At 42.9% G+C, this 25,844-nt stretch overlaps 1 annotated feature.

Annotated features, from left to right (window-relative positions):
* Positions 6,758 to 7,957: an enhancer, noted in NCBI's record as "BRD4-independent group 4 enhancer chrY:22253264-22254463 (GRCh37/hg19 assembly coordinates)". NCBI's record gives its function as "activates an origin of replication core promoter dependent on BRD2, P300/CBP, MED14 and CDK7 cofactors, and independent of BRD4, by STARR-seq in HCT116 cells {active_cell/tissue: HCT116}" and the evidence as "EXISTENCE:reporter gene assay evidence [ECO:0000049][PMID:35650434]".

Raw genomic sequence — 25,844 nt, forward strand, 5'->3', positions numbered from 1 at the left:
TTCATGCAGATGTGACCGGAGTTTCTTTCTTCTGGCAGCTTCATGGTCTTGCTCACCTCAAGAATGAAGCTGCAGACCTTAGTGGTGAGTGTTACAGCACTTAAAGGTGTTATGTACAGAGTTCGTTACTTAATATGTGTCCAGAGTTTCTTCATTCTGGCAAATTCATGGTCTTGCTCACTTCAAGAATGAAGCTGCATACCTTTATGGTGAGTGTTACAGCACTTAAAGGTGTTATGTCTAGAGTTTGTTCCTTCAGATGTGTGCAGAGTTTCTTCCTTCTGGCAGGTTCATGGTCGTGCTCACTTCAAGAATGAAGCTGCAGACCTTTACGGTGAGTGTTACAGCACTTAACGGTGTTAGGTCCAGAGTTTGTTTCTTCAGATGTGTCCAGAGTTTCTTCCTTCTGGCAGGTTCATGGTCTTGCTCACTTCAAGAATGAAGCTGCAGACCTTTACGGTGAGTGTTACAACACTTAAAGGTGTTAGTTCCAGAGTTTGTTCCTTCAGATAAGTCCAGAGATTCTTCCTTCTGGCACGTCCATGGTCTTGCTCACTTCAAGAATGAAACTGCAGACCCTTACGGTGAATGTTACAGCACTAAAAATTGTTATGTCTAGAGTTTCTTCCTTCATATGTGTCCAGTTTCTTCCTTCTGGAAGGTTCATGGTCTTGCTCACTTCAAGAATGAAACTGTAGACCTTTACGGTGAGTGTTACAGCACTGAAAGATGTTATTTCCTGAGTTTGTTCCTTCAGATGTGTGCAGTGTTTCTTCCTTCTGGCAGGTTCATGGTCTTGCTCACTTCAAGAAAGAAGCTGCAGAACTTAGTGGTGAGTTTTACAGCACTTAAAGGTGTTATATCCAGAGTTTGTTCCTTCAGATGTGTCCAGAGTTTCTTCCTTCTGGCAGGTTCATGGTCTTGCTCACTTCAAGAATGAAGCTGCAGACCTTAGTGGTGAGTGTTACAACACTTAAAGGTGTTATTTACAGAGTTTGTTCCTTCAGATGTGTCCAGAGTTTCTTCCTTCTGGCAGGTTCATGGTCTTGCTCACTTCAAGAATGAAGATGGAGACCTTTACGGTGAGTGTTACAGCACATAAAGGTGTTATGTCCAGAGATTGTTCCTTCAGATGTGTCCAGAGTTTCTTCCTTCTGGCAGGTTCATGGTCTTGCTCACTTCAAGAATGAAGCTGCAGTCCTTTACGGTGAGTGTTACATCATTTAAAGGTGTTATATCCAGAGTTTTTTACATCAGATGTGTCTAGATTTCCTTCCTTCTGGGAGGTTCACGGACTTGCTCATTTCAAGAATGAAGCTGCAGACCTTAGTGGTGAGTTTTACAACACTTAAAGCTGTTATGTCCAGAGTTTGTTCCTTCAGGTGTGTCCAGAGTTTCTTCCTTCTCCAGGTTCATGGTCTTGCTCACTTCAAGAATGAAGCTGCAGACCTTAGTGGTGAGCGTTACAGCACTTAAGTTTTTATGTCCAGAGTTTGTTCCTTCAGATAAGTCCAGAGTTTCTTCCTTCTGGCAGGTTCATGGTCTTGCTCACTTCAAGAATGAAGCTGCGGACCTTAGTGGTGAGCGTTACAGCACTTAAGTTTTTATGTCCAGAGTTTGTTCCTTCAGATAAGTCCAGACTTTCTTCCTTCTGGCAGGTTCATGGTCTTGCTCACTTCAAGAATGAAGCTGCAGACCTTTACGGTGAGTGTTATAGCACTTAAAGGTGTTATGTCCAGAGTTTGTTCCTTCAGAAGTGTCCAGAGTTTCTTCCTTCTGACAAGTTCATGGTCTTGCTCACTTCAAGAATGAAGCTGCAGACCTTTACGGTGAGTGTTACAGCATTAATGGTGTTATGTACAGAGTTTGTTCCTTCAGATGTTTCCAGAGTTTCTTCCTTCTGGCAGGTTCATTGTCTTGCTCACTTCAAGAATGAAGCTGCAGACCTTAGTGGTGAGTGTTACAGCACTTAAAGTTGTTATGTCCAGGGTTTGTTCCTTCAGATGTGTACAGAGTTTCTTCCCTCTGGCTGGTTCTTGGTCTTGCTCACTTCAAGAATGAAGCTGCAGACCTTTACGGTGAGTGTTACAGCATTTAATGGAGTTATGTCCAGAGTTTCTTACATCAGATGTGTCTAGAACTCCTTCCTTCTGGGAGGTTCATGGACTTGCTCATTTCAAGAATGAAGCTGAAGACCTTAGTGGTGAGTTTTACAGCACTTAAAGGTGTTAGGTCCAGAGTTTGTTCCTTCAGATGTGTCCAGAGTTTCTTCCTTCTGGCAGGTTCATCGTGTTGCTCACTTCAAGAATGAAGCTGCAGACCTTAGTGGTGAGCGTTACAGCACTTAAGTTTTTATGTCCAGGGTTTGTTCCTTCAGATAAGTCCAGAGTTTCTTCCTTCTTGCAGGTTCATGGTCTTGCTCACTTCAAGAATGAAGCTGCAGAACTTAGTGGTGAGTTTTACAGCACATAAAGGTGTTATGTCCAGAGTTTGTTCCTTCAGATGTGTCCAGAGTTTCTTCCTTCTGGCAGGTTCATGGTCTTGCTCACTTCAAGAATGACGCGGCAGACCTTTACGGTGAGTGTTACAGCATTTAATAGTGTTATGTCCAGAGGTTGTTCCTTCAGATGTGTCCACTTTCTTCCTTCTGGCAGGTTCATGGTCTTGCTCACTTCAAGAATGAAACTGTAGACCTTTACGGTGAGTGTTACAGCAATGAATGATGCTATGTCCAGAGTTTGTTCCTTCAGATGTGTCCAGAGTTTCTTCCTTCTGGCAGGTTCATGGTCTTGCTCACTTCAAGAATGAAGCTGCAGTCCTTTACGGTGAGTGTTACAGCATTTAAAGGTGTTATGTCCAGAGTTTGTTCCTTCAGATGTGTCCAGAGTTTCCTCCTTCTGGCAGGTTCATGGTCTTGCTCACTTCAAGAATGAAGCTGCAGACCTTAGTGGTGAGTGTTACAGCACTTAAATTTGTTATGTCCAGAGTTTGTTCCTTCAGATGTGTCCAGAGTTTCTTCCCTCTGGCTGGTTGTTGGTCTTCCTCACTTCAAGAATGAAGCTGCATACCTTTACGGTGAGTGTTACAGCATTTAATGGAGTTATGTCCAGAGTTTCTTACATCAGATGTGTCTAGAGCTCCTTCCTTCTGGGAGGTTCATGGACTTGCTCATTTCAAGAATGAAGCTGAAGTCCTTAGTGGTGAGTATTACAACACTTAAAGGTGTTAGGTCCAGAGTTTGTTCCTTCAGATGTGTCCAGAGTTTCTTCCTTCTGGCAGGTTCATGGTCTTGCTCACTTCAAGAATGAAGCTGCAGACCTTAGTGCTGAGCGTTACAGCACTTAAGTTTTTATGTCCAGAGTTTGTTCCTTCAGATAAGTCCAGAGATTCTTCCTTCTGGCAGGTCCATGGTCTTGCTCACTTCAAGAATGAAACTGCAGACCCTTACGGTGAGTGTTACAGCACTTAAAATTGTTATGTCTAGAGTTTGTTCTTTCATATGTGTCCAGTTTCTTCCTTCTGGAAGGTTCATGGTCTTGCTCACTTCAAGAATGAAACTGTAGACCTTTACGGTGAGTGTTACAGCACTGAAAGATGTTATTTCCAGAGTTTGTTCCTTCAGATGTGTCCAGAGTTTCTTCCTTCTGTCAGGTTCATGGTCTTGCTCACTTCAAGAATGAAGCTGCAGAACTTAGTGGTGAGTTTTACAGCACTTAAGGTGTTATATCCAGAGTTTGTTCCTTCAGATGTGTCCAGAGTTTCTTCCTTCTGGCAGGTTCATGGTCTTGCTCACTTCAAGAATGAAGCTGCAGACCTTAGTGGTGAGTGTTACAACAATTAAAGATGTTATTTACAGAGTTTGTTCCTTCAGATGTGTCCAGAGTTTCTTCCTTCTGGCAGGTTCATGGTCTTGCTCACTTCAAGAATGAAGATGCAGACCTTTACGGTGAGTGTTACAGCACATAAAGGTGTTATGTCCAGAGTTTGTTCCTTCAGATGTGTCCAGAGTTTCTTCCTTCTGGCAGGTTCATGGTCTTGCTCACTTCAAGAATGAAGCTGCAGTCCTTTACGGTGAGTGTTACATCATTTAAAGGTGTTATGTCCAGAGTTATTTACATCAGATGTGTCTAATTTTCCTTCCTTCTGGGAGGTTCATGGACTTGCTCATTTCAAGAATGAAGCTGCAGACCTTAGTGGTGAGTTTTACAGCACTTAAAGCTGTTATGTCCAGAGTTTGTTCCTTCAGATGTGTCCAGAGTTTCTTCCTTCTCCAGGTTCATGGTCTTGCTCACTTCAAGAATGAAGCTGCAGACCTTAGTGGTGAGCGTTACAGCACTTAAGTTTTTATGTCCAGAGTTTGTTCCTTCAGATAAGTCCAGAGTTTCTTCCTTCTGGCAGGTTCATGGTCTTGCTCACTTCAAGAATGAAGCTGCGGACCTTAGTGGTGAGCGTTACAGCACTTAAGTTTTTATGTCCAGAGTTTGTTCCTTCAGATAAGTCCAGAGTTTCTTCCTTGTGGCAGGTTCATGGTCTTGCTCACTTCAAGAATGAAGCTGCAGACCTTAGTGGTGAGCGTTACAGCACTTAAGTTTTTATGTCCAGAGTTTGTTCCTTCAGATAAGTCCAGAGATTCTTCCTTCCGGCAGGTCCATGGTCTTGCTCACTTCAAGAATGAAACTGCAGACCCTTACGGTGAGTGTTACAGCACTTAAAGGTATTATGTCCAGAGTTTGTTCCTTCAGATGTGTCCAGAGTTTCTTTCTTCTGGCAGGTTCATGGTTTTGCTCACTTCAATAATGAATCTCCAGTCCTTTACGGTGAGTGTTACAGCACTTAATGGTGTTATGTCCAGAGTTTATTCCTTCAGATGTGTCCAGAGTTTCTTCCTTCTGGCAGGTTCATGGTCTTGCTCACTTCAAGAATGAAGCTGCAGACCTTAGTGGAGAGTGTTACAGCACTTAAAGGTGTTATGTAAAGAGTTTGTTCCTTCAGATGTGTCCAAAGTTTCTTCAATCTGGCAGGTTCATGGTCTTGCTCACTTCAAGAGTGAAGCTGCAGAATTTAGTGGTGAGTGTTACAGCACTAAAAGGTGTTATGTCCAGAGTTTGTTACATCAGATGTGTCCAGATATTCTTCCTTCTGTCATGTTCATGGTCTTGCTCACTTCAAGAAAGAATGAAGCTGCAGACATTTACAGTGAGTGTTACAGCATATAAAGGTGTTATGTCCAGAGTTTGGTCACTCAGATGTGTCCAGAATTTTTTCCTTCGGGCTGGTTCATGGTCTTGCTCACTTCAAGAATGAAGCTGCAGACCTTGGTGGTGAGTGTTACAGCACTTAAATTTGTTATGTCCAGAGTTTGTTCCATCTGATGTGTATAGTGTTACTTCCTTCTGGCAGGTTCATGGTCTTGCTCACTTCAAGAATGAAGCTGCAGGCCTTAGTGGTGAGTGTTACAGCACTTAAAGGTGTTATGTCCAGAGTTTGTTCCTTGTGATGTGTCCAGAGTTTCTTCCTTCTGGCAGGTTCATGGTCTTGTTCTCTTCAGGAATGAAGCTGCAGACCTTAGCGGTGAGCGTTACAGCACTTAAAGGTTTTATGTCCAGAGTTGTTCCATCAGATGTGTCTAGAGTTTCTTCCTTCTGGCAGGTTCATGGTCTTGCTCTCTTCAAGGATGAAGCTGCAGACTTCAGTGGTGAGTGTTACAGCTCTTAAAGGTGTTATGTAAAGAGTTTGTTACTTCAGATGTGTCCAAAGTTTCTTCAATCTGGCAGGTTCATCGTCATGCTCACTTCAAGAGTGAAGCTGCAGAATTTAGTGGTGAGTGTTACAGCACTTAAAGTTGTTATGTCTAGAGTTTGTTACTTCAGATGTGTCCAGATATTCTTCCTTCTAGCAAGTTCATGGTCTTGCTCAGTTCAAGAAAGAATGAAGCTGCAGACCTTAGTGGTGAGTGTTACAGCACTTAAAGGTCTTATGTCCAGAGTTTGTTCCTTCAGTTGTGTCCAGAGTTTCTTCCTTCTTTCAGGTTCATGGTCTTGCTCACTTCAAGAATGAACCTGCAGACCTTGGTCGTGAGTGTTACAGCACTTACAGGTGTTATGTTCCGAGTTTGTTCCATCAGATGTGTCCAGAGTTTCTTCCTTTTGGCAGGTACATGGTCTTGCTCATTTCAAGAATGACGCTGCAGATCTTAGTGGTGAGTGGTAGAGCACTTAAAGGTGTTATGTAAAGAGTTTTTTCCTTCAGATGTTTCCAAAGTTTCTTCAATCTGGCAGATTCATGGTCTTGCTCACTTCAAGAATGATGTTGCAGAGCTTTACGGTGAGTGTTACAGCACTTAAAGGTGTTATATCCAGAGTTTCTTCCTTCAGATATGACCAGAGTTCCTTACTTCTGGCAGGTTCATGGTCTTGCTCACTTCAAGAATGAATGAAGCTGCAGACCTTTACGTTGAGGGTTACAGCATATAAAGGTGTTATGTCCAGAGTTTGGTCCTTGAGATGTGTCCAGAGTTTCTTCCTTCTGGCAGGTTCATGGTCTTGCTCACTTCAAGAATGAAGCTGCAGACATTTACGGTGAGGGTTACAGCATTTAAAGCTGTTATGTCCAGAGTTTTTTCCTTCAGATGTGTGCAGAGTTTCTTCCTTCTGGCAGGTTCATGGTATTGCTCACTTCAAGAATGAAGCTGCAGACCTTAGTGGTGAGGGTTACAGCACTTAAAGGTGTTATGTCCAGAGTTTATTCCTTCAGATGTGTCCAGAGTTTCTTCCTTCTGGCAGGTTCATGGTCTTGCTCACTTCAAAATGAAGCTGCAGACCTTAGTAGTGAGTGTTACAGCACCTAAATGTGTTATGTCCAGAGTTTTTTCCTTCAGATATGTCCAGAGTTTCTTCTATCTGGCAGGTTCATGGTCTTGCTCACTTCAAGAGTGAAGCTGCAAAATTTAGTGGTTATTGTTACAGCACATAAAGGTGTTATGTCCAGAGTTTGTTCCTTCAGATGTGTCCAGATATTCTTCCTTCTGGCATGTTCATGTTCTTGCTCACTTCAAGAAAGAATGAAGCTGCAGACCTTTACGGTGAGTGTTACAGCATATAAAGGTGTTATGTCCAGAGTGTGGTTCTTCAGATGTGTCCAGAATTTCTTCTTTCGGGCAGGTTCATGGTCTTGCTCACTTGAAGAATGAAGCTGCAGACCTTGGTTGTGAGTGTTACAAAACTTAAAGGTGTTATGTGCAGAGTTTGTTCCATCAGATGTGTATAGAGTTTCTTCCTTCTGGCAGGTTCATGGTCTTGCTCACTTCAACAATGAAGCTCCAGAACGTTACGGTGAGTGTTACGGTACTTAATGTTGTCATGTCCAGGGTTTGTTCCTTCAGATGTGTCCAGAGTTTCTTCATTCTGTCAGGTTCATTTTCTTGTTCTCCTCAATAATTAAGCTGCAGACCTTAGTGGTGAGCGTTACCGTACTTAAAGGTTTTATGTTCAGAGTTTGTTCCATAAGATGTGTCCAGAGTTTCTTTCTTATGGCAGGTTCATGGTCTTGCTCACTTCAAGGATGAAGCTCCAGACCTTTACGGTGAGTTTTACAGCACTTAAAAGCGTTATGTCCAGAGTTTGTTCCTTCAGTTGTGTCCAGAGTTTCTTCCTTCTTTCAGGTTCATGGTCTTGCTCACTTCAAGAATGAACCTGCAGACCTTGGTCGTGAGTGTTACAGCACTTACAGGTGTTATGTTCCGAGTTTGTTCCATCAGATGTGTCCAGAGTTTCTTCCTTTTGGCAGGTACATGGTCTTGCTCATTTCAAGAATGACGCTGCAGATCTTAGTGGTGAGTGGTAGAGCACTTAAAGGTGTTATGTAAAGAGTTTTTTCCTTCAGATGTTTCCAAAGTTTCTTCAATCTGGCAGATTCATGGTCTTGCTCACTTCAAGAATGATGTTGCAGAGCTTTACGGTGAGTGTTACAGCACTTAAAGGTGTTATATCCAGAGTTTCTTCCTTCAGATATGACCAGAGTTTCTTTCTTCTGGCAGGTTCATGGTCTTGCTCACTTCAAGAATGAATGAAGCTGCAGACCTTTACGTTGAGTGTTACAGCATATAAAGGTGTTATGTCCAGAGTTTGGTCCTTGAGATGTGTCCAGAGTTTCTTCCTTCGGGCTGGTTCATGGTCTTGCTCACTTCAAGAATGAAGCTGCAGACATTATTGGTGAGGGTTACAGCACTTAAAGTTGTTATGTCCAGAGTTTTTTCCTTCAGATGTGTCTAGAGTTTCTTCCTTCTGGCAGGTTCATGGTCTTGCTCAATTCAGGAATGAAGCTGCAGACCTTAGTGGTGAGTGTTACAGCACTTAAAGGTGTTATGTACAGAGTTTGTTCCTTCAGATGTGTCCAGAGTTTCTTCCTTCTGGCAGGTTCATGGTCTTGCTCAGTTCAAGAATGAAGCTGCAGACCTTAGTGGTGAATGTTACAGCACTTAAATGTGTTATATAAAGAGTTTGTTCCTTCAGATGTGTCCAAAGTTTCTTCAATCTGGCAGGTTCATGGTCTTGCTCACTTCAAGAATGAAGCTGCAGACCTTTAGGGTGAGTGTTACAGCACTTAAAAGTGTTATGTCCAGAGTTTGTTCCTTCATATGTGGCCAGAGTTTCTTCCTTCTGGCAGGTTCATGGTCTTGCTCACTTCAAGAATGAAGCTGCAGACCTTTACGGTGAGTGTTACAGCATTTAAACGTGTAATCTCCAGAGTTTGTTCCTTTAGATGTGTCCAGAGTTTCTTCCTTCAGGCAAGTTCATGGTCTTGCTCACTTCAAGAATGAAGCTGCGGACCTTAGTGGTGAGGGTTACAGCACTTAAAGGTGTTATGTCCAGAATTTTTTCCTTCAGATGTGTCCAGAGTTTCTTCCTTCTGGCAGGTTCATGGTCTTGCTCACTTCAAGAATGAAGCTGCAGACCTTAGTGGTGAGGGTTACAGCACTTAAAGGTGTTATGTCCAGAGTTTTTTCCTTCAGATGTGTCCAGAGGTTCTTCCTTCTGGCAGGTTCATGGTCTTGCTCAATTCAAGAATGAAGCTGCAGACCTTAGTGGAGAGTGTTACAGCACTTAATGGTGTTATGTCCAGAGTTTTTTCCTTCAGATGTGTCCAGAGTTTCTTCCTTCTGGCAGGTTCATGGTCTTGCTCAATTCAAGATTGAAGCTGCAGACCTTAGTGGTGAGTGTTACAGCAGTTAAAGGTGTTTTGTCCAGAGTTTTTTCCTTCAGATGTGTCCAGATTTTCTTCCATCTGGCAGGTTCATGGTCTTGCTCACTTCAAGAGTGAAGCTGCATAATTTAGTGGTGATTGTTACAGCACTTAAAGGTGTTATGTCCAGAGTTTGTTCCTTCAGATGTGTCCAGATATTCTTCCTTCTGGCATGTTCATGGTCTTGCTCAGTTCAAGAAAGAATGAAGCTGCAGACATTTACGGTGAGTGTTACAGCACTTAAAGTTGTTATATCCAGAGTTTGTTCCTTCAGATGTGTCCACAGTTTTTTTCTTCTGGCAGTTTCATGGTCTAGCTCACTTCAAGAAAGAATGAAGCTGCAGACCTTTACGGTGAGTTTTACAGCATATAAAGGTGTTATGTCCAGAGTTTGGTCATTCAGATGTGTCCAGAGTTTCTTCCTTCGGGCAGGTTCATTGTCTTGCTCACTTCAAGAATGAAGCTGTAAACCTTGGTGGTGAGTGTTACAGCACATAAAGGTGGTATGTCCAGAGTTTATTCCATCAGATTTGCATAGTGTTTCTTCCTTATGGCAGGTTAATGGCCTTGCTCACTTCAAGAATGAAGCTGCAGACCATTACGGTGAGTGTTACAGCAGTTAAAGGTGTTATATCCAGAGTTTGTTCCTTCATATGTGTCCAGAGTTTCTTTCTTCTGGCAGGTTCATGGACTAGCTCACTTTAAGAAGGAAGCTCCAGACTTTTACGGTGATTTTTAAGTCACTTAAATGTGTTATGTCCAGAGTTTGTTCCTTCAGTTCTGTCCAGAGTTTCTTCCTTCTGGCAGGTTCATGGTCTTGCTCACTTCAAGAATGAAACTGCAGACCTTTACGGTGAGTGTTACAGCACTTAAAGGTATTATGTCCAGAGTTTGTTCCTGCAGATGTGTCCAGAGTTTCTTCCTTCTGGCAGATTCATGGTCCTGGTCACTTCAAGAATGAAACTGCAGACCATTACCGTGAGTGTTACAGCACTTAAAGGTGTTATGTGCAGAGTTTGCTCCTTCAGATGTGTCCAGTTTCTTCCTTCTAGCAGGTTCATGGTCTTGCTCACTTGAAGAATGAAACTGTAGACCTTTACGGGTAAGTGTTACAGCACTGAAAGAATGAAGCTGCAGAGATTTACGGTGAGTGTTACAGCATATAAAGGTGTTATTTCCAGAGTGTGGTCCTTCAGGTATGTCCAGAGTTTCTTTCTTCTGGCAGGTTCATGGACTTACTCACTTCAAGAATGAAGCTCCAGACATTTAGGGTGAGTGTTACACCACGTAAAAGTGTTATGTCCAGAGTTTGTTCCTTCAGATGTGGCCAGAGTTTCTTCCTTCTGGCAGGTTCATTTGTCTTGCTCACTTCAAGAATGAAACTGTAGACATTTACGGTGAGTTTTACAGCACTGAAAAATGTTATGTCCAGAGTTTGTTCCTTCAGATGTGTCCAGAGTTTCGTCCTTCTGGCAAGTTCAAGGTCTTGCTAACTTCAAGAATGAAGCTGCAGACATTTACGCTGAGTGTTACAGTACGTAAATGTGTCATGTCCAGAGTTTGTTAATTCAGATTTGGCCAGAGTTTCTTCCTTCTGCAGGTTCATGGTCCTGCTCACTTCAACAATGAAGCTGCAGACCTTTACGGTGAGTGTTACAGCACTTAAAAGTGTTATGTCCAGAGTTTGTTCCTTCAGATGTGTCCAGAGTTTCTTTCTTCTGGCAGGTTCATGGTCTTCCTCACTTCAATAATGAAGCTCCAGTCCTTTACGGTGAGTGGTACAGCACTTAAAGGTGTTATGTCCAGCGTTTGTTCCTTCAGATGTGTCCAGAATTTCTTCCTTCTGGCAGTTTCATGGTCTTGCTCCCTTCAAGAATGAAGCTGCAGACATTAGTGGTGAGTGTTACAGCACTTAAAGGTGTTATGTCCAGAGATTTTGCCTTCAGATGTGTCCAGAATTTCTTTCATCTGGCAGGTTCATGGTCTTGCTCACTTCAAGAGTGAAGCTGCAGAATTTAGTGGTGAGTGTTACAGCACTTAAAGGTGTTATGTCCAGAGTTTGTTCCTTCAGATGTGTCCATAGTTTCTTTCTTCTGGCAGTTTCATGGTCTTGCTCACTTCAAGAAAGAATGAAGCTGCAGACTTTTACGGTGAGTTTTACAGCATATAAAGTTGTTATGTCCAGAGTTTGTTCCTTCAGATGTGTATAGAGTTTCTTCCTTCTGGCAGGTTCATGGTCTTGCTCACTTCAAGAATGAAGCTGCAGACCTTTAGGGTGAGTGTTACACCACTTAAAAGTGTTATGTCCAGAGATTGTTCCTTCAGATGTGGCCAGAGTTTCTTCCTTCTGGCAGGTTCATGGTCTTGCTCACTTCAAGAATGAAGCTGCCGACCTTTGCGGTGAGTGTTACAGCATATAAAGGTGTTATGTCCAGAGTTTGTTTCCTTCAGATGTGTCCAGAGTTTCTTCCTTCTGGCAGGTTCATGTTCTTGCTCACTTCAAGAATGAGGCTGCAGACCTAGGTGGTGAGTGTTACAGCACTTAAAGGTGTGATGTCCAGAGTTTGTTCCTTCAGATGTGTCCAGAGTTCCTTTCTTCTGACAGGTTCATGTTCTTGCTGACTTCAAGAATGAAGTTGCAGTCCTTTACGGTGAGTGTTACAGCACTTAAAAGTGTTATGTCCAGAGTTTTTTCCTTCAGATGTGTCCAGAGTTTCTTCCTTCTGGCAGGTTCATGGTCTTGCTCACTTCAAAAATGAAACTGGAGACCATTACGGTGAGTGTTACAGCACTTAAAGGTGTTATGTCCAGAGTTTGTTCCTTCAGATGTGTCCAGTTTCTTCCTCCTGGCAAGTTCATGGTCTTGCTCACTTCAAGAATGAAACTGTAGACCTTTACGGTGAGTGTTACAGCACTGAAAGATGTTATGTCCAGAGTTTTTTCCTTCAGATATTTCCAGAGTTTCTTCCATCTGGCAGGATCATGGTCTTGGTCACTTCAAGAATGAAGCTGCAGACCTTAGTGGTGAGGGTTACAGCACTTAAAAGTGTTATGTCCAGAGTTTTTTCCTACAGATGTGTCCAGAGTTTCTTCCTTCTGGCAGGTTCATGGTCTTGCTCACTTCAAGAATGAAGCTACAGACCTTAGTGGTGAGTGTTACAGCACTTAAAGGTATTATGCCCAGAGTTTGTTACTTCAGATGTGTATAGAGTTTCTTCCTTCTGGCAGGTTGATGGTCTTGCTCACTTTAAGAATGAAGCTGCAGACATTTACGGTGAGTGTCACAGCACTTAAAGGTGTTATGTCCAGAGTTTGTTCATTCAGATGTGTCCAGAATTTCTTCCTTCTGGCAGGTTCATGGTCTTGCTCACTTCAAGAATGAAGATGTAGACATTTAGGGTGAGTGTTACGGCACTTAAAAGTTTTATGTCCAGAGTTTGTTCCTTCAGATGTGGCCAGAGTTTCTTCCTTCTGGGAGGTTCACGGTCTTGCTCACTTCAAGAATGAAGCTGCAGACCTAGGTGGTGAGCGTTACAGCACTTAAAGGTGTTATGTCCAGAGTTTCTACCGTCAGATACGTCTAGAGTTTCTTCCCTCTGGCAGGTTCATGGTCTTGCTCACTTCAAGAATGAAGCTGCAGACCTTGGTGGTGATTGTTACAGCAGTTAAAGGTGTTTGTCCTGAGTTTGTTCCATCGGATGTGTATAGAGTTTCTTCCTTCTGGCAGGTTGATGGTCTTGCTCACTTCAAGAATGAAGCTGCAGACCTTTACGGTGAGTGTCACAGCACTTAAAGGTGTTATGTCCAGAGTTTGTTCATTCAGATGTGTCCAGAATTTCTTCCTTCTGGCAGGTTCATGGTCTTGCTCACTTCAAGAATGAAGATGCAGACATTTAGGGTGAGTGTTACGACACTTAAAAGTTTTATGTCCAGAGTTTGTTCCTTCAGATGTGGCCAGAGTTTCTTCCTTCTGGCAGGTTCATGGTCTTGCTCACTTCAAGAATGAAGCTGCAGACCTAGGTGGTGAGCGTTACAGCACTTAAAGGTGTTATGTCCAGAGTTTGTACCGTCAGATACGTCTAGAGTTTCTTCCCTCTGGCAGGTTCATGGTCTTGCTCACTTCAAGAATGAAGCTGCAGACCTTAGTGGTGAGTGTTACAGTACTTAAAGTTGTTATGTCCAGAGTTTGTTCGTTCAGATGTGTCCAGAGTTTCTTCCATCTGGCAGGTTCATGGTCTTGCGCACTTCAAGAATGAAGCTGCAGACCTTTGAGGTGAGTGTTGCAACAATTAAAGGTGTTATGTCCAGGGTTTGTTCCTTCAGAGGTGTCCAGAGTTTCTTCCTTCTGGCAGGTTCATGGTCTTGCTCACTTCAAGAATGAAACTGTAGACCTTTACGGTGAGTGTTACAGCACTGAAAGATGTTATGTCCAGAGTTTGTTCCTTCAGATGTTTCCAGAGTTTCTTCCATCTGGCAGGTTCATGGTCTTGCTCACTTCAAGAATGAAGCTGCAGACCTTAGTGGTGAGGGTTACAGCACTTAAAGTTGTTTTATCCAGAGTTTTTTCCGTCAGATGTGTCCAGAGTTTCTTCCTTCTGGCAGGTTCATGGTCTTGCTCACTTCAAGAATGAAGCTGCAGACCTTAGTGGTGGGTGTTACAGCACTTAAAGGTATTATGCCCAGAGGTTGTTACTTCAGATGTGTCCAGAGTTTCTTCCTTCTGGCAGGTTCATGGTCTTGCTCACTTCAAGAATGAAGCTGCAGACATTTACGGTGAGTGTTACAGCACTTAAATTTGTTATATCCAGAATTTGTTCCTTCAGATGTGTCCAGAATTTCTTCCTTTTGGCAGGTTCATGGTCTTGCTTACTTCAAGAATGAAGCTGCAGACCTTTAGGGTGAGTGTTACAGCACTTGAAAGTTTTATGTCCAGAGTTTGTTCCTTTAGATGTGTCTAGAGTTTCTTCCTTCTGGCAGGTTCATGGTCTTGCTCACTTCAAGTAAGAATGAAGCTGCAGACCTTTACGGTGATTGTTACAGCATATAAAGTGTTATGTCCAAAGTTTGTTCCTTCAGATGTGTCCAGAGTTTCTTCCTTCTGGCAGGTTCATGTTCTTGCTCACTTTAAGAATGAGGCTGCAGACCTAGGTGGTGAGTGTTACAGCACTTAAAGGTGTGATGTCCAGAGTTTGTTCCTTCAGATGTGTCCAGAGTTTCTTTCTTCTGGCAGGTTCATGGTCTTGCTCACTTCAAGAATGAAGCTCCAGTCCTTTACGGTGAGTGTTACAGCACTTAAAAGTGTTATGTCCAGAGCTTTTTTCCTTCAGATGTGTCCAGAGTTTCTTCCTTCTGGCAGGTTCATGGTCTTGCTCACTTCAAAAATGAAACTGCAGACGATTACGGTGAGTGTTACAGCACTTAAAGGTGTTATGTCCAGAGTTTGTTCCTTCAGATGTGTCCAGTTTCTTCCTCCTGGCAAGTTCATGGTCTTGCTCACTTCAAGAATGAAACTGTAGACCTTTACGGTGAGTGTTACAGCACTGAAAGATGTTATGTCCAGAGTTTTTTCCTTCAGATATTTCCAGAGTTTCTTCCATCTGGCAGGATCATGGTCTTGGTCACTTCAAGAATGAAGCTGCAGACCTTAGTGGTGAGGGTTACAGCACTTAAAGGTGTTATGTCCAGAGTTTTTTTCTACAAATGTGTCCAGAGTTTCTTCCTTCTGGCTGGTTCATGGTTCTTGCTCACTTCAAGAATGAAGCTACAGACCTTAGTGGTGAGTGTTACAGCACTTAAAGGTATTATGCCCAGGGTTTGTTACTTCAGATGTGTCCAGAGTTTCTCCCTTCTGGCAGGTTCATGGTCTTGCTCACTTTAAGAATGAAGCTGCAGACATTTACGGTGAGTGTTACAGCACTTATATTTGTTGTATCCAGAGTTTGTTCCTTCAGATGTGTCCAGAATTTCTTCCTTCTGGCGGGTTCATGGTCTTGCTCACTTCAAGAATGAAGCTGCAGACCTTTAGGGTGAGTGTTACAGCACTTGAAAGTTTTATGTCCAGAGTTTGTTCCTTTAGATGTGTCCAGAGTTTCTTCCTTCAGGCAGGTTCATGGTCTTGCTCACTTTAAGAATGAAGCTGCAGACCTAGGTGGTGATCGTTACAGCATTTAAAGGTGTTATGTCCAGAGTTTTTCCTTCAGATGTGTCCAGAGTTTCTTCCTTCTGGCAGGTTCATGGTCTTGCACACTTCAAGAATGAAGCTGCAGAACTTTACGGTGAGTGTTATAGCACTTAAAGGTGTTATGTCCAGCGTTTGTTCCTTCAGATGTGTTCAGAGTTTCTTCCTTCTGGCAGGTTCATGGTCTTGCTCACTTCAAGAATGAAGCTGCAGACCTTAGTGGTGAATGTTACAGCAATTAAAGGTGTTATGTCCAGAGTTTTTTCTTTCAGATGTCTCCGGAGTTTCTTCCATCTGGCAGGTTCATGGTCTTGCTCACTTCAAGAGTGAAGCTGCAGAATTTAGTGGTGAGTGTTACAGCACTTAAATGTGTTATGTCCAGAGTTTGTTCCTTCAGATGTGTCCAGATATTCTTCCTTCTTGCAGGGTCAAGGTCTTGCTCACTTCAAGAAAGAATGAAGATGCAGACCTTTACGGTGAGTGTTACAGCATATAAAGTTGTTATGTACGGATTTAGTCCTTCAGATTTGTCCAGAGTTTCTTCCTTCGGGCATGTTCATGGTATTGCTCACTTCAAAAATAAAGCTGCAGACATTGGTGTTGAGTGTTACAGCACTTAATGGTGTTATGTCCAGCGTTTGTTCCATCAGATATGTATAGATTTTCTTCCTTCTGACAGGTTCATGGACTTGTTCACTTCAAGAACGAAGCTGCAGACCTTAGTGGTGAGTGTTACAGCACTTAAAGGTGTTGTGTCCAGAGTTTTTTCCTTCAGAAGTGTCCAGAGTTTCTTCCACCTGGCAGGTTCATGGTCTTGCTCACTTCAAGAGTGAGGCTGCAGAATTCAGTGGTGAGTGTTACGGCACTTAAAGGTGTTATGTCCAGAGATTGTTCCTTCAGATGTGTCCAGATATTCTTCCTTCTGGCAGGTTCATGGTGTAGCTCATTTCAAAAAAGAATTAAGATGCAAACCTTTACGGTGAGTGTTGCAGCATATAAAGGTGTTATATCCAGAGTTTGTTCCTTCAGATGTGTCCAGAATTTCTTCCCTCTGGCAGGTTCATGGTCTTGCTCACTTCACGAATGAAGCTGCAGACCTTTAGGGTTAGTGTTACAGCACTTAAAAATCTTATGTCCAGAGTTTCTTCCTTCAGATGTGGACAGAATTTTTTCCTTCTGGCAGGTTCATGGTCTTGCTCACTTCAAGAATGAAGCTGCAGACCTTTACGGTGAGTGCTACAGCATTTAAATGTGTTAAGTCCAGAGTTTATTCCTTCAGATGTGTACAGAGTTTCTTCCTTCTGGCATGTTCATGGTCTTGCTCACTTCAAGAATGAAGCTGCAGACCTAGGTGGTGAGTGTTACAGCACTTATAGGTGTTATCTCCAGAGTTTCTTCGGTCAGATGTGTCTAGAGTTTCTTTCTTCTTGCAGGTTCATGGTCTTGCTCACTTCAATAATGAAGCTGCAGACCTTAGTGGTGAGTGTTACAGCACTTAAGGTTGTTATGTCCAGAGTCTGTTCTTTCAGATGTGTCCAGAGTTTCTTCAATCTGGAAGGTTCACGGTCTTGCACACTTCAAGAATGATGCTGCAGACCTTTACGGTGAGTGTTACAACACTTAAAGGTGTTATATCCAGAGTTTGTTCCTTCAGATGTGTCCAGAGTTTCTTTCTTCTGACAGGTTCATGGTCTTGCTCACTTCAAGAAAGAATGAAGCTGCACACCTTTACTGTGAGTGTTACAGCATAGAAAGGTGTTATATCGAGAGTTTGGTCCTTCAGATGTGTCCAGAGTTTCTATCTTCGGGCAGGTTCATGGTCTTGCTCAATACAAGAATGAAGCTGCAGACCTTGGTGTTGAGTGTTACAACACTTAAAGGTGTTATGTCCCAGAGTTTGTTCCATGCAGATTTGCATAGAGTTTCTTCCTTATGGCAGGTTCATGGTCTTGCTCACTTCAAGAATGAAGCTGCAGACCTTAGTGGTGAGTGTTACAGTACTTAAAGGTGTTATGTCCAGAGTTTGTTCCTTCTGATGTGCGCAGAGTTTCTCCCTTTTGGCAAGTTCGTGGTCTTGCTCACCTCAAGAATGAAGCTGCAGGCCTTGGTCGGTGAGTGTTACAGCACTTACAGGTGTAATGTCCCGAGTTTGTTCCATCAGATGTGTCCAGAGTTTCTTCCTTTTGGCAGGTTCATCGTCTTGCTCACTTCAAGAATGAAGCTGCAGACCTTAGTGGTGAGTGTTACAGCACTTAAAGATGTTATGTCCAGGGTTTGTTCCTTGTGATGTGTCCAGAGTTTCTTCCTTCTGGCAGGTTCATGGTATTGCTAGCTTCAAGAATGAACCTCCAGTCCTTTACGGTGAGTGTTACAGCATTTAAAGGTGTTATGTCCAGAGTTTGTTCTTTCAGATTTGTCCACAGTTTCTTCCTTCTGGCAGGTTCATGGTCTTGCTCTCTTCAAGAATGAAGCTGCAGACCTTGGTGATGAGTGTTGCAGCACTTACAGGCGTTATGTCGCGAGTTTGTTCCATCAGATGTGTCCAGAGTTTCTTCCTTTTGGCAGGTTCATGGTCTTGCTCACTTCAAGAATGAAGCTGCAGACCTCAGTGGTGAGTGTTACAGCACTTAATGGTGTTATGTAAAGAGTTTGTTCCTTCAGGTGTGTCCAAAGTTTCTTCAGTCTGGCAGGTTCATGGTCTTCCTCACTTCAAGAGTGAAGCTGCAGAATTTAGTGGTGAGTGTTAACAGCACTAAAAGTTGTTATGTCCAGAGTTTGTTACTTCAGATATGTCCAGATATTCTTCCTTCTGGCAGGTTCATGGTCTTGCTCACTTCAAGAAAGAATGAAGCTGCAGACCTTTACGGTGAGTGTTACAGCATATAAAGGTGTTAAGTCCAGAGTTTGGTCCTTCAGATGTGTCCAGAATTTCTTCCTTCGGGCCGGTTCATGGTCTTGCTCACTTCAAGAATGAAGCTGCAGACCTTGGTGGTGAGTGTTACAGCACTTTAATGTGTTATGTCCAGAGTTTGTTCCATCAAATGTGTATAGAGTTTCTTCCTTCTGGCAGGTTCATGGTCTTCCTCACTTCAAGAATGAAGCTGCAGACCTTAGTGGTGAGTGTTACAGCACTTAAAGGTGTTATGTCCAGTGTTTGTTCCTTGTGATGTGTCCAGAGTTTCTTCCTTCTGGCAGGTTCATGGTCTTGCTCACTTCAGGAATTAAGCTGCAGACCTTTACGGTGAGTGTTACAGCACTTAATTTTGTCATGTCCAGAGTTTGTTCCTTCAGATGTGTCCAGAGTTTCTTCATTCTGGCAGGTTCATGGTCTTGTTCTCTTCAAGAATGAAGCTGCAGACCTTAGTGGTGAGTGTTACAGCACTTAAAGGTTTTATGTAAAGAGTTTGTTCCTACAGATGTGTCCAAAGTTTCTTCAATCTTTCAGTTTCATGGTCTTACTCACTTCAAGAGTGAAGCTGCAGAATTTAGTGGTGAGTGTTACAGCACTTAAAGGTGTTATGTCTAGAGATTGTTACTTCAGATGTGTCCAGATATTCTTCCTTCTGGCAGGTTCATGGTCTTGCTCACTTCAAGAAAGAATGAAGCTGCAGACCTTTACGGTGAGTGTTACAGCATATAACGGTGTTAAGTCCAGAGTTTGGTCCTTCAGATGTGTCCAGAATTTTTTCCTACGGGCTGGTTCAAGGTCTTGCTCACTTCAAGAATGAAGCTGCAGACCTTGGTGGTGAGTGTTACAGCACTTAAATGTGTTATGTCCAGAGTTTGTTCCATCTGATGTGTATAGAGTTTCTTCCTTCTGGCAGGTTCATGGTCTTGCTCACTTCAAGAATGAAGCTGCAGACCTTAGTGGTGAGTGTTACAGCACTTAAAGATGTTATGTCCAGAGTTTGTTCCTTGTGATGTGTCCAGAGTTTCTTCCTTCTGGCAGCTTCATGGTCTTGCTCACTTCAAGAATGAAGCTGCAGTCCTTTACGGTGAGTGTTACAGCACTTAATGTTGTCATGTCCAGAGTTTGTTCCTTCAGATGTGTCCAGAGTTTCTTCCTTCTGGCAGGTTCATGGTCTTGCTAGCTTCAAGAATGAACCTCCAGTCCTTTACGGTGAGTGTTGCAGCACTTAAAGGTGTTATGTCCAGAGTTTGTTCCTTCAGATGTGTCCAGATATTCTTCCTTCTGGCATGTTCATGGTCTTGCTCACTTCAAGAAAGAATGAAGCTGCAGACCTTTACGGTGAGTGTTGCAGCATATAAAGGTGTTATATCCAGAGTTTGGTTCTTCAGATGTGTCCAGAATTTCTTCTTTCGGGCAGTTCATGGTCTTGCTCACTTGAAGAATGAAGCTGCAGACCTTGGTGTTGAGTGTTACAGCACTTAAAGGTGTTATGTCCAGAGTTTGTTCCATCAGATATGTATAGAGTTTCTTCCTTCTGGCAGGTTCATGGTCTTGCTCACTTCAACAATGAAGCTCCAGACCGTTACGTTGAGTGTTACAGCACTTAAAGGTGTTATGTCCAGAGTTTGTTCCTTCAGATGTGTCCAGAGTTTCTTCCTTCTGGCAAGTTCATTGTCTTGCTCACTTCAAGAATGAAGCTGCAGATCTTGGTGGTGAGTGTTACAGCACTTACAGGTGTTATGTCCGAGTTTGTTCCATCTGATGTGTCTAGAGTTTCTTCCTTTTGGCAGGTTCATGGTCTTGCTCACTTCAAGAATGAAGCTGCAGACCTTGGTGGTGAGTGTTACAGCACTTAATTGTGTTATGTCCAGACTTTGTTCCATCTATTGTGTATAGAGTTTCTTCCTTCTGGCAGTTTCATGGCATTGCTCACTTCAAGAATGAAGCTGCAGACCTTAGTGGTGAGTGTTACAGCACATAAAGGTGTTATGTCCAGAGTTTGTTCCATCACATGTGTATAGAGTTTCTTCCTTCTGGCAGGTTGATGGACTTGCTCAATACAAGAATGAAGCTGCAGACCTTTACGGTGAGTGTTACAGCACTTAAAGGTGTTATATCCAGAGTTTGTTCCTTCAGATGTGTCCAGAGTTTCCTTCTTCTCTCAGGTTCATGGCCTTGCTCAATTCAAGAGTGAATCTCCGGACGTTTACGGCGAGTTTTACAGCAATTAAAAGTGTTATGTCCAGAGTTTGTTCCTTCAGTTTTGTGCAGAGTTTCTTCCTTCGGGCAGGTTCATGGTCTTGCTCACTTCAAGAATGAACCTGCAGACCTTGGTGGTGAGTGTTACAGCACTTAAAGGTGTTATGTCCAGAGTTTGTTCCATCAGATGTGTATAGACTTTCTTCCTTCTTGCAGGTTCATGGTCTTGCTCACTTCAAGAGTGAAGCTCCAGACCTTTACGGTGAGTTTTACAGCACTTAAAGCTGTTATGTCCAGAGTTTGTTCCTTCAGATGTGTCTAGAATTTCTTCCTTCTGGAAGTTTCATGGTCTTGCTCACTTCAAGAATGATGCTGCAGACATTTACGGTGAAAGTTACAGTACTTAAAGTTGTTATATCCAGTGTTTGTTCCTTCACATGTGTCCAGAGTTTCTTCCTTCTGGCAGGTTCATTGACTTGCTCACTTCAAGAATGAAATTGCAGACCTTTACGGTGAGTGTTACAGCACTTAAAGGTATTATGTCCAGAGTTTTTTCCTTCAGATGTGTACAGAGTTTCTTCCTTCTGGCAGGTTCATGGTCTTGCTAGCTTCAAGAATGAACCTCCAGTCCTTTATGGTGAGTGTTACAGCACTTAAAGGTGTTATGTCCAGAGTTTGTTCTTTCAGACGTGTCCAGAGTTTCTTCCTTCTGGCAGGTTCATGGTCTTTCTCACTTCAAGTATGAAGCTGCAGACCTTGGTGGTGAGTGTTACAGCACTTACAGGTGTTATGTCCCGAGTTTGTTCCATCAGATGTGTCCAGAGTTTATTCCTTTTGGCAGGTTCATGGTCTTGCTCACTTCAAGGATGAATCTGCAGACCTTAGTGGTGAGAGTTACATCACTTAAAGGTGTTATGTCCAGAGTATGTTCCTTCAGATGTGTCCAAAGTTTCTTCAATCTGGCAGGTTCATGGTCTTGCTCACTTCAAGAGTGAAGCTGCAGAATTTAGTGGTGAGTGTTACAGCACTAAAAGGTGTTATGTCCAGAGTTTCTTACTTCAGATGTGTCCAGATATTCTTCCTTCTGTCATGTTCATGGTCTTGCTCACTTCAAGAATGGAGCTGCAGACCTTAGTGGTGAGTTTTGCAGCATTTAAAGGTGTTAGGTCCAGAGTTTGTTCCTTCAGATGTGTCCAGAGTTTCTTCCTTCTGGCAGCTTCATGGTCTTGCTCACTTCAAGAATGAAGCTGCAGACCTTAGTGGTGACCGTTACAGCACTTAAGTTTTTATGTCCAGAGTTTTTTCCTTTAGATATATCTAGAGTTTCTTCCTTCTGGCAGGTTCATGGTCTTGCTCAATTCAAGAATGAAACTGCAGACCTTCCGGTGAGTGTTACAGCATATAAAGTTGTTATGTACGGAGATTAGTCCTTCAGATGTGTCCAGTTTCTTCTTTCGGGCAGGTTCATGGTATTGCTCACTTCAAGAATAAAGCTGCAGACCTTTACGGTGAGTGTTACAGCACTTAAAGGTGTTATGTCCAGCGTTTGTTCCATCAGATGTGCATAGATTTTCTTCCTTCTGGCAGGTTCATGGACTTCTTCACTTCAAGAATGAAGCTGCAGTCCTTTACGGTGAGTGTTACAGCACTTAAAGGTGTTATATACAGAGTTTGTTCCATAAGATGTGTCTAGAGTTTCTTCCTTCTGGCATGTTCATGGTCTTGCTCACTTCAAGAAAGAATGAAGCTGCAGACCATTACGGTGAGTGTTATAGCATATAAAGTGTTATGTCCAAAGTTTGTTCCTTCAGATGTGTCCAGAGTTTCTTCCTTCTGGCAGGTTCATGGTCTTGCTCACTTCAAGAATGAAGCTGCACACCTTAGCGGTGAGTGTTACAGTACTTAAAGGTGTTTTGTCCAGAGTTTTTTCCTTCAGATGTGTCCAGAGTTTCTTTCAACTTGCATTTTCATGGTCTTGCTCACTTCAATAGTGAAGCTGCAAAATTTAGTGGTGATTGTTACAGCACTTAAAGGTGTTATGTCCAGAGTTTGTTCCTTCAGATGTGTCCAGATATTCTTTCTTCTGGCATGTTCATGGTCTTGCTCACTTCAAGAAAGAATGAAGCTGTAGACCTTTACGGTGAGTGTTACAGCATATAAAGGTGTTATGTCCAGAGTTTTGTCCCTCAGATGTGTCCAGAATTTCTTCTTTCGGGCAGGTTCATGGTCTTGCTCACTTCAAGAATGAAGCTGCAGACCTTGGTGGTGAGTGTTACAGAACTTAAAGGTGTTATGTCCAGAGTTTCTTCCATTAGATATGTATAGAGTTTCTTCCTTCTGGCAGGTTCACGGTCTTGCTCACTTCAAGAATGAAGCTGCAGACCTTTACGGTGAGTGTCACAGCACTTAAAGGTGTTATGTCCAGAGTTTATTCATTCAGATGTGTCCAGAATTTCTTCCTTCTGGCAGATTCATGGTCTTGCTCACTTCAAGAATGAAGCTGCAGACCGTTAGGGTGAGTGTTACAGCACTTAAAAGTGTTATGTCCAGAGTTTCTTCCTTCGGATGTGTATAGAGTTTCTTCTTCTGGCAGGTTCATGGTCTTCCTCACTTTAGGAATGAAGCTGCACACCTTTACGGTGAGTGTTACAGCACTTAAAGGTGTTATATCCAGAGTTTGTTCCTTCAGATGTGTCCAGAGATTCTTTCTTCTGGCTGGTTCATGGACTTGCTCACTTCCAGAATGAAGTTCCAGACCTTATTGGTGAGTTTTACATCACTTAAAAGTGTTATGTCCAGAGTTTGTTCCTTCAGTTGTGTCCACAGTTTCTTCCTTCTGGCAGGTTCATGGTCTTGCTCACTTCAAGAACGAAACTGCAGACCATTACGGTGAGTGTTACAGCACTTAAAGGTGTTATGTCCAGAGTTTGTTCCTTCAGATGTGTCCAGTTTCTTCCTTCTGGCAGGTTCATGGTCTTGCTAGCTTCAAGAATGAAGCTGCAGACATTTTCGGTGAGTGTTACAGCATTTAATGTTGTTATTTCGAGAGTTTTTTCCTTCAGATGTGTCCAGAGTTTCTTCCTTCTGGCAGGCTCATGGTCTTGCTCACTTCAAGAATGAAGCTGCAGACCTTAGTGGTGAGCGTTACAGCACTTACGTTGTTATGTCCAGAGTTTGTAACTTTAGATGTGTCCAGAGTTTCTTCCTTCTGGCAGGTTCATGGTCTTGCTGACCTCATGAATGAAGCTGCAGACCTTTACGGTGAGTGTTAGAGCACTGAAAGATGTCATGTCCAGAGTTTGTTCCTTCAGATGTGTCCAGAGTTTCTTCCATCTGGCAGGTTCATGGTCTTGCTCATTTCAAGAATGAAGCTGCAGACCTTAGTGGTGAGTGTTACAGCACTTAAAGGTGTTATGTCCAGAGTTTGTTCCTTCAGATGTGTCCAGAGTTTCCTCCTTCTGGCAGGTTCATGGTCTTGCTCACTTCAAGAATGAAGCTGCAGACCTTAGTGGTGAGTGTTACAGCACTTAAAGTTGTTATATCCAGCGTTTGTTCGTACAGATGTGTCCAGAGTTTCTTCAATCTGGCAATTTCATGGTCTTGCTCACTTCAAGAATAATGCTGCAGACCTTTACGGTGAGTGTTACAGCACTTAAAGCTGTTGTATCCAGAGTTTGTTCCTGCAGATGTGTCCAGAGTCTCTTTCTTCTGGCAGGTTCATGGTCTTGCTCACTTCCAGAAAGAATGAAGCTGCAGACATTTACGGTGAGTGTTACAGCATGTAAAGGTGTTATGTCCAGAGTTTGGTCCTTCAGATGTGTCCAGAGTTTCTTCCATCTGACAGGTTCATGGTCTTGCTCACTTCAAGAGTGAGGCTTCAGAATTTAGTGGTGAGTGTTACAGCACTTTACGGTGTTATGTCCAAAGTTTTTTCTTTCAGATGTGTCCAGATATTCTTCCTTCTGGCAGGTTCATGGTGTTGCTCACTTCAACAATGAATGAAGCTGCAGACCTTTACGGTGAGTGTTACAGCATATAAATGTGTTATGTCCAGAGTTTGGTCCTTCAGATATGTCCAGAGTTTCTTCCTTCGGGCAGGTTCATGGTCTTGCTCACTTCAAGAATGAAGCTGCCGACCATGGTCGTGAGTGTTACAGCAGTTAAATGTGTTATATCCAGGGTTTGTTCCATCAGATGTGTATAGAGTTTCTTCCTTCTGGCCGGTTCATGGTCTTGCTCACTTCAAGAATGAAGCTGCCGACCTTTACGGTGAGTGTCACAGTACTTAAAGGTGTTATGTCCAGAGTTTGTTCCTTCAGATTTGTCCAGAATTTCTTCCTTCTGGCAGGTTCATGGTCTTGCTCACTTCAAGAATGAAGCTGCAGACCTTTAGGGTGAGCGTTACAGCACTTAAAAGTGTTATGTCCAGAGTTTGTTCCTTCAAATGTGGCCCGAATTTCTTCCTTCTGGTAGGTTCATCGTCTTCCTCACTTCAAGAATGAAGCTGTAGACCTTTACGGTGAGTGTTACAGCATTTAAAGGTGTTAAGTCCAGAGTTTGTTCCTTCAGATGTGTCCAGAGTTTCTTCCTTCTGGCAGGTTCATGGTCTTGCTCACTTCAAGAATTAAGCTGCAGACCTAGGTGGTGAGTGTTACAGCAATTATAGGTATTATGTCCAGAGTTTGTTCCGTCAGATGTGTCTAGAGTTTCTTTCTTCTGGCAGGTTCATGGTGTTGCTCTCTTCAAGAATGAAGCTGCAGACCTTAGTGGTGAGTGTTACAGCACTTAAAGTTGTTATGTCCAGAGGTTGTTCGTTCAGATGTGTCCAGAGTTTCTTCAATCTGGCAGGTTCACGGTCTTGCTCACTTCAAGAATGATGCTGCAGACCTTTGCGGTGAGTGCTACAGCACTTAAAGGTGTTATATCCAGAGTTTGTTCCTTCAGATGTGTCCAGAGTTTCTTTCTTCTGGCAGGTTCATGGTCTTGCTCACTTCCAGAAAGAATGAAGCTGCAGACATTTACGGTGAGTGTTACAGCATATAAAGGTGTTATGTCCATTGTTTGGTCCTACAGATGTGTCCAGAGTTTCTTCCTTCGGGTAGGTTCAAGGTCTTGCTCAATTCAAAAATGAAGCTGCAGACCTTGGTGTTGAGAGTTACAGCACTTAAAGGTGTTATGTCCAGAGTTTGTTCCTTCAGATGTGCCCAGAGTTTCTTTCTTCTGGCAGGTTCTTGGTCTTGCTCACATCAATAATGAAGCTCCAGTCCTTTACGGTGAGTGTTACAGCACTTAAAGGTGTTATGTCCAGAGTTTGTT

Source organism: Homo sapiens, chromosome Y (genome assembly GCF_000001405.40).
Source record: "Homo sapiens chromosome Y, GRCh38.p14 Primary Assembly".
In the NCBI taxonomy this organism is placed as follows: Eukaryota; Metazoa; Chordata; class Mammalia; order Primates; family Hominidae; genus Homo; species Homo sapiens.